At 44.9% G+C, this 8,982-nt stretch overlaps 1 protein-coding gene across 8 annotated transcripts in view; it reads left to right on the top strand.

Moving 5' to 3' along the window:
* Window positions 1-8,982, top strand: part of ZNF565 (zinc finger protein 565) — a 63,869-nt gene that overhangs the window by 33,793 nt on the left and 21,094 nt on the right. The window contains exon 2 of one of the 8 annotated variants that reach the window (NM_001366189.1): window positions 1,349-1,527. The exons of 6 other annotated variants lie outside the window; for them this stretch is intronic. The gene's annotated coding sequence lies outside the window, so the exon portion shown is untranslated. Of the gene's footprint in view, window positions 1-1,348; window positions 1,528-8,563; window positions 8,690-8,982 lie in introns of those variants that run through there. One more of the 8 variants, XM_011526514.3, reaches the window with a different exon arrangement.

The following is an 8,982-nucleotide window of genomic DNA, read 5'->3' as shown; positions in this document are numbered from 1 at the left end:
ATGTACCCTTCTCGGCGCATCATGCCAGGGACCCACGAGGTCAATTCGTTACACTATGAGTGGTATTAATTTTAACCGCTTGGTTAAGACGGTGATTGCCAGATTTCTCTGCTGCAAAGTCACTGTTTTTCCCATTATAATTGATACATGTCTTGTGAAGAAATACTTTAAGCCTATGTGAATATCCCGTTTCTTATCCTCCTTTCATCTATTAGTCTTATCCGTTGATGACGCTTGCCTGAAAAAGTTGTTACCAGCTATTTGTCAAATGGTGGGGTTTTGGGGTTTGTTTCCATCATCACTTCTATGTTTATTTTTTCTTCTTTTTTTTTTTGTTTTTTTTGAGACAGAGTCTTGCTCTGTCACCCAGGCTGGAGTGCAGTGGCGCGAGCTCGGCTCACTGCAAGCTCCGCCTCCCTGGTTCATGCGATTCTCCTGCCTCAGCCTCCCGAGTAGTTGGGACTACAGGTGCCTGCCACCGCGCCTGGCTAATTTTTTGTATTTTTAGTAGAGATGGGGTTTCACCGTGTTAGCCAGGATGGTCTCGATCTCCTAACCTCGTGATCCACCCACCTTGGCCTCCCAAAGTACTGGGATTACAGGCGTGAGCCACCGCGCCCGGCCACTTCTATGTTTATTAATTAGAATTGTGTGTGTGTGTGTGTGTGTGTGTGTGTGTGTGTGTGAGAGAGAGTTGGAGTTTGGCTCTTGTTGCCCAGGCTGGGAATGCAGTGACATGATCTCAGCTCACTGCAGCCTCTGCCTCCTGGATTCAAGCGATTCTCCTGCCTCAGCCTCCCAAGTTTCTGGGATTACAGGCACACACCACCACGCCCGGCTAATAATTGTATTTTTAGTAGAGATGGGATTTCACCATGTTGGACAGGCTGGTCTCGAACTCCTGATCTCAGGTGATCTGCCCACCTTGGCCTCCCAAAATGCTGGGATTATAGGCGTGAGCCACCTCGCCTGGCCTTATTAATTAGAATCTTACTGTTAGAAAGATATTTTTCTTCTTTCCCATTTTTTTATTTACTAAATTATTTCTATAAGTATAGACTGGAATTTCTTCTATAGGTTATAATCTCTTTTATTCTATAGGTTATATATTCATTGCTATCATTTTTTTTTTTTGCTCAAATTATCACACATTTGGCCACTGGGAGCCCCTTCAAGTCGATTCCTGTGTCCTTTCAATGTGGCCTCTTTATTTACTATTTTTATTATTTATTTTCTGGCACCACAAGGTGTTCCACGTTGATGTGGTACTTTCCCTGCCCCAGTCCTGGAATCTACAAATTTCCCGGGGACCATTGGTTCCTTTTATTAGAAAATGATTTTTTTTCAGCCAGGTGTGGTGGCGAGTACCTGTAGTCCCAGCTACTCGGGAGGTTGAGGCGGGAGGATTGCTTGAGCCCGGGAGGCGGAGGTTGCAGCGAGCCAAGATTACACCACTGCATTCCAGCCTGGGTGATGAAACAAGAGCCTGTCTCAGGAAAAAAAAAAAAATGATTTTTTGAAACCAAGGTTAGATATCTTCATTGCTTCTGAGATGTCATTGCTTCTAGGTCCTCTCAGCTATGAAATGTGTTTATATGTATGTATATACAAATAATTCATGAGTTCATATAGTATCTCCAATTTCAGTGCAACACTACAGGGTTCATTCTAGCCTTCTCTCCATTTCCAGATTTTTTTTTTTTTTTTTTTTTTTTTGAGACAGAATTTTACTTGCCCAGGCTGGAGTGCAATGGTGCCATCTCGGCTCACTGCAACCTCCACCTCCCAGGTTCAAGCAATTCTCCTGCCTCAGCCTCCCGAGTAGCTGGGATTACAGGCGCCCACCACCTCGCCCAGCTAATTTTTTTTGTATTTTTAGTAAAGACGGGTTTTCGTCATGATAGTCAGGCTGGTCTCAAACTCCTGACCTCAGGTGATCCTCCTGCCTCTGCCTCCCAAAGTGCTGTGATTACGGGCATAAGCCACCACACCTGGCCTCCATTTCCTTTTTTTTAAATATAATTTTAAGATTTTTTGTAGAGACAAGGGCCTCACTATTTGCCCAGGCTGGTCTTGAGCTCTTGGCCTCAGGTGATTCTCCTTCCTCGGCATCCCAAAGTTCTGGGATTATAGATGTGAACCACCATGTCTTGCCTCCATTTCCCTTTTTGTAACTCCTTTCTTTGACATTGAAAAATGTGGCTCACATTAACCATAATATAATTTATTTATTAACCATTATATGTATTAATATATATAAATATATTTGCTCAGTCCTGTGTAAAAAGTAATTTAAGAATTGCTGACTTCCATGTACCATACAGTTCTTTTTGTCTTTAGTCTTACAGTATATAGTGAAAATACAGTTTTCTAAAACTACTTTCTTCCCTAAACCCTTTGTATTCATAATATTTATGTGTAATATAGATTGTTCATTTATTACTGTTTGTATTTTATTTTGGGTTCCCCTCACATCCTGGTTGAATTTAATGATTTTTCTGAGTATGTGAAACAATCACATTGTTCTAAAAGTCAGAATCAGACAAAAGGATTTACTGAGTCATCATTTCTTCTCTCCCAATCCCATTGCCCATTGTTTTTTGTTGGTTTGTTTTTTGTTTTTTGTTTTTGTTTTTGTTTTGAGACGGAGTCCCGCTCTGTCACCCAGGCTAGCGTGCAATGGCGCAATCTCGGCTCACAGCAACCTCCACCTCTCGGGTTCAAGCAATTTTCCCACGTCAGCCTCCTGAGTAGCTGGGATTACAGGCATCCACCATCATGCCCAGCTAATTTTTGTGTTTTTGTAGAAATGGGCTTTCACTAAGTTGCCAACCGCCTCGGCCTCCCAAAGTGCTGGGATTGTAGGTGTGAGCCACTGCGCCCAGCCCCGGTTCTTTGTTCTTTCTACCCAGTTCCCACTTACCTATTTCAGTAACCAATAATGTTACTTTCTTGGTTTTATGGTTAAATAAACATAACAAAGAATTTACCATTTTAGGGTAAATTACAGGCGTAAATGATTACGCCTGTAATCCCAGCACTTTGGGAGGTCGAGGTGGGAAAATTGTTTGAGCCCAGGAGTTTGAGACCAGCCTGGGCAATATGACGAAACCCCATCTCTACAAAAAATTAAAAACTAGCCAGACGTGGTGATGCACACCTGTAGTCCCAGCTATTTGGGAGGCTGAGGTAGGAGAATCTCTTGAGTCTGGGAGGTCAAGGTTGCAATGAGCTGTGATCATGCCACTGCACTGCAGCCTGAGTGACAGAATTAGACCCTACCTCAAAAAAATAAATAATAAAAACATTGGGAAAAAGGCTTTTGTTAGAGTTTTTACTCAGAGTGATTGCTTTTTCAGGAAGAGATTACTAAGGTTAAGATGGAGATTCCTGTACCTGTCTAGCTCCCATAACTTGGCCAACTTATCTCAGCCCCTGAGCCTAGGCCCTTGTGATGTGGGATCCCAGGCCCTAAAGAATGTCTGTGAATTGCAGAGATGGGGAACATTTAGGCACGTAGCTTCAAGTTTTACTAGGTGGTGTAGAGATAGCTCAACTTTCCAGAAGGATTTGTACAAAGTTTTGATGTTGGAGCTCTAAAACAGCATGGTTTTGCTGGGTCAGAATCAACTTGTTGGCTGGGCACAGTGGCTCACACCTGCAATCCCAGCATTTTAGGAGGCTGAAGTGGGAGGATCATTTAAGGCCAGGAGTTCAAGACCAGACTGGGCAACATATTGAGACCCTGTCTTTACAAAAAATTTTAAAATTAGCCAGGTGTAGTGGCATGCCTGTGGTCTCAGCTACTTGGGAGGCTGAAGTGGGAGAATCACCTTAGCCCAGGAGGCTGAAGCTGTGATTGCGCCACTGCCCTCCAGCCTGGGTGAGAGTGAGATCCTGTCCCTGCCCTGCCAAAAAAAAAAAAAAAAATTGTCCTGTAACTCATAATTCACATTTTGTTTCACATTATGGGTTTGTGAAAAATCCCTTTGAGACATATAGAGCTGGAATCGGACAGCTCTGCTCTTATTTCTGAAGCTTCCTCTTTTTAAAAATTGCTCTTTCTCATATTGACCAAGCGTCTGAGTCTGAATTTTTATCTAGTCAAAGTATGGCCTAATTTGTGTACTGGTTAGGACAGGCTAAGTTATGCTGTGGTGGCAAACAACCCCTGAATCTCAGTGGCTTACAGAGTCACATTTTATTTCTGCTCATGTACATGTCCAGTGTGGATCAGCAGAGACAGGGTTCCACACCAAAGAAGGCCCGCCACCTTTAGCTGCATCATTTGAAAAACAGATGGTCACCACATGCATGAAGAGAAAAATTGGAGAATTGTGCAGTCTTTCTGGTGTCTGTCTCTAACTGAAGTGACAGTCATCACCTCAGCTGAGATTTCATTGGCTAGAGCAGTGCATGGCCCTACCTAAGTGCAAGGGGCTGGAAAATGTCATTTTCTGTGTGCCCCAAACTGGATAATGGTGAAACATAGTAATGTCTTCCACACTGGCTAAGACCCATTTCTTTTCTTTTCTTTTCTTTTTGTTGTTGTTTGTTTGTTTTGTTGTTTGTTTGTTATGTATTTTTTTTTTTGTTTGAGATGGAGTCTCACTCTGTCACCCAGGCTGGTGTCAGTGGCACAATCTTGGCTCACCGCAACCTCCGCCTCCTGGCTTCAAACAATTCTCATGCCTCAGCCTCCCGAGTAAATAGGATTACAGGTGCTCACCACCATACGCAGCTAACTTTTGTATTTTTAGTAGAAACAGGGCTTCTGTTGACCAGGCTGGTCTCTAACTCCTGGCCTCAGGTGATCCGCCCACCTTGATCTTCCAAAGTGCCAGGATTACAGGCGTGAGCCACTGTGCCCCGCCCCTTTTAAATATAAATCAGATTATGCCATTCCTTGGCTTTAAAAGTTTCGTACCTTCCTGTTTTCCTTAAGAATAAAATCCAAAGTTCTTACAGTGGCTTACAAGCTCCTTGTGATCTGGCTTCTAGCTCTCTCTCTGACCCTCTTCGTCTCGCATGTTCCATCCCAGCTGCCCTTGTCTCCTTCCTCTTGTTGATCGAGGAAAGCCTGCTCCTGCCTTCAGACCCTTGCAATTGCCGCTCCTGGTGCAAGGCGTGCACTTCCCCAGATACCTGCATTTCTCACTCATCCATTCAGGCTGTGCTTACCTGTCACCTTCTCAGACCACCCTCTCTTCCTCCAAAACTCCCTCTCCCCTTAATCTTCTTTGTTTTTATCTGTAGGACATTTGCCACCTGACATCTATATATACATATGTTGTTATTGTTGTTGTTTGTGACAGAGTCTTTGTTGCCCAGGCTGGAGTGCAGTGGCACAATATCAACTCACTACAACCTCTTCCTCCTGGGTTCAAGTGATTCTCTCACCTCAGCCTCCTGAGTAGCTGGGATTACAGGCATGCGCCACCACACCCAGCTAATTTTTTGTATTTTTAGTAGAGACGGCATTTCACCATGTTGGCCAGGCTGGTCTAGAACTTCTGACCTCAAGTGATCCGCGTGCCTCGCCCTCCCAAAGTGCTGGGATCACAGGCATGAGCCACTGTGCCTGGCCCCACCTGACATATAATTAGGAATATCAATATCATGTCTATGGCCATACCACCCTAAATACTCACATCTCATCTTTTTTCTTTTTTTTTTCTTCAAATTTTTTGTAGAGATGGGGGTCTTACTTTGCTGCCCAGGCTGGTCTTGAGCTGCTGACCTCAAGTTATCCTCCTGCCTTGGTCCCTCAAAGTGCTGAGATGACAGGAGTGAGCTACTGTGCCCAGCCCTCAATCCCATCTATCTCCGTATGTCAGTGTTTGTTGGTTGTCTCTTCCCATAGGATGTGAGGTCCAGCCAGACACAATGGCCCACACCTGTAATCCCAGCACTTTGGGAGGCTGAAGTGGGGATATCACTTGAGGCAGGAGTTGAAGACCAGCCTGGCCAACATGACGAGTCCCCGTCTCTACAAAAGTTACAAACATTAGCAGAGCATGATGGTGCACGCTTGTAATTCCAGCTACTTGGGAGGCTGAGGCAAAATAATTGCTTGAACCCAGGAGGTGGAAGTTGCAGTGAGCCGAGAGCTCGTCAGTGCACTCCAGCCTCGGTGACAGAGCAAGATTTTGTCTCAAAAAAAAGAAAAAAAAAAAAACAGAATGTGAGATCAACTGGGACAGGGACTTGAATTATTTTCTTTCCTCGTTCCTAGAACAGTGCCAGTTGACACAGGAGCCCAGTAAATATGAAAGAATTCTGACTTCCTTTTCTCTGCCTCCATATGTGTCAGATGCCAGAGCCTGTTGATTTAATCTCATCTACATTTTGAATTCATCTCTCTCCTCCTCTTTTCTGCTGCCAATGTCCTGGGTCAGGCCCTCTTCGTGCCTGAAAAAGTGTAGGGGCAACCCACCCCTACATCTGAAAAGTACAAGTACCTCTCAGTCAATCTTTCTGACTCCAAGGTTACACCTCTCCAAAATAACCTGGCCATATTGGTCCTGTCACTTCTGTCTTTAAATTCTTAGGTTTCCTTCCATTTCATTAATAAGTGAAAACCTACTTTTTCTTTCTTTTTTGTTTTGGAGAGAGAGTCTCACTCTGTTCCCCAGGCTGGAGTGCAATGGTGCCATCTCGGCTCACCGCAACCTCTGCCTCCTGAGTTCAAGCAATTCTCCCTGCCTCAACCTCCTGAGTAGCTGGGATTATAAGCGCCCCCCACCATGCCAGCTAATTTTTGTATTTTTAGTAGAGATGCAGTTTCACCATGTTGGCCAGGCTGGTCTCAAACTCCTGATTTCAGGTAATCCGCCTGCCTCGGCCTCCCAAAGTGCTGGGATTACAGGCGTGGGCACCGTGCCCGGCTGAAAACCTACCTTTTTTAAAAAATAGAGATGAGGGCTCACTATGTTACCCAGGGTGGTTTCAAATTCCTGAGCTTAAGCGAACGACACACCTCAGCTTCCCAAAGAACCTAACTTTTATGCATCAGCCTGTATTTATTGGTCACCTATGTCCTCCAGACACTGTGGCAAGAGTGATGGTTAGAGTGATGATCAGACCCACTGGTCCTTGCCCTCATGGTTTTTTCATTCATACATCTTCATTTTCTTTTCTGTTTTTTTGAGACAGAATCTCACTCTGTGGCCCAGGCTGGAGTGGAGTGGTGTGATCTTGGCTCACTGCAACCTCCGCCTCCCAGGTTCAAGCAGTTCTCCCATCTCAGCCTCCCAAGTAGCTGGATACCGGCACGCACCACCGTGCCTGGCTAATTTTTGTATTTTTAGTAGAGACAGGGTTTCACCATGTTGGCCAGGCTGGTCTCAAACTCCTGACCTCAGGTGATCAGCCCACCTCGGCCTCCCAAAGTGGTGGGATGACAGGCGTGAGCCACCACACCTGGCCTATACACCTTCATTTTCTAACCCCTGATGTCATCTCCAGCATTATCTGCCTCTAGATTCTAGAGCTAATTAAATTTAAATTAAATTAATTAAAATAAAATAAAAACTTTAGTTTCTCAGACATACTAGCCACATTTCATATGCTCAATAGCCATCTATGACTACAATATTTATAGCACAGATTTGAAGATTTCCATCATCACAGAACATTATTTGGACAGCACTGGTCTAGACCTTTCTTCAAACTACACAACTCATTCCAAATCATTCTTAGTCTCCCAAATACACCATTTGCTTTCAGTCCAGTGTTTTTGCCACTGCATTTCACTCTGCTCACAATATTCTCTGTCCCTTTTCTGCCTATTAAACTTCCCTGAGGTTTCAGAACCCAATTCCTATTCTACATTTTACAGAAAAGTTTTCTTGACACCATTCCCATTCATTAAGTTAGTCTTCCTTAGCTGGGCTCGGTGGCTCACACCTGTAATCCCAGCACTTTCGGAGGCCGAGGTGGGCAGATCAGTTGAGCTCAGGAGTTCAAGACCAGCCTGGCCAACATGGCAAAACCCAATCTGTACCAAAAATGCAAAAATTAGCCAGGCGTGGTGGTGCATGCCTATGGTCCTAGCTACTTGGGAGGCCGAGGTGGAAGGATCGCTTGAGTATGGGAGGCAGAGGTTGCAGTGATCCGAGATTGTGCCACTGCACTCCAGCCTTGGTGACAGAGTGAAACCCCATTTCAAAAAAAAAAAAAAAAGTATTTCTTTTGACACACCCCCTACAGGAAGCTTCTTGGACCTCTAATTAGATCAGATTTAATACCCTTGTTAGGCCAGGCACAGTAGCTCATACCCTGCTAACCCCAACACTTTGGGAGGCCAAGGTGGGCGGATCACCTGAGGTGAGGAGCTCAAGACCAGCCTGGCCAACATGGTGAAACCGCGTCTCTACTAAAAATACAAAAAATCAGCCAGGCGTAGTGGTGTGCGCCTGTACTCCTAGCTACTTGTGAGGTTGAGGCGGGAGAATCACTTGAACCTGGGAGACAGAGGTTGCGGTGAGCTGAGATCACACCTCTGCACTCCAGCCTGGGCAACAGAGTGAGACCCTGTCTCAAAAGGAAAAAAAGAACCCTCCTTAAAACTCTGATTTCTCATTCCCTTGAGATGTATGCCATTCACAGGACTTCGGACTCAGCAACTGCCAGCCTCACAGTCAATGGGGAAGTGATGTTCTGCAGAAAAGCAGTAGATGGTCGGAAGGTAGTGAGTTATCTCCATTGATTGTTCACAGTCAGTTATGAATTGAACTCCTTGTTCTATTCTTCCCCCTCTTCTCACTACTGTACTTGTCTTTTTTTTTTTTTTTTTTTGAGACAGAGTTTTGTTTTTATTGCCCAGGCTGGAGTGCAATGGTGCGATCTCGGCTCACCACAACCTCTGCCTCCCGGGTTCAAGCGATTCTCCTGCCTCAGCCTCCCGAGTAGCTGGGATTACAGGAATGCGCCACCACGCCCCGCTAATTTTTTGTACTTTTAGTTGAGACGGGGTTTCTC

Source organism: Homo sapiens, chromosome 19 (genome assembly GCF_000001405.40).
Source record: "Homo sapiens chromosome 19, GRCh38.p14 Primary Assembly".
NCBI lineage: Eukaryota > Metazoa > Chordata > Mammalia > Primates > Hominidae > Homo > Homo sapiens.
Note: the sequence above shows the minus strand (reverse complement) of the source record. Positions and strands in the feature narration are given on the sequence as shown.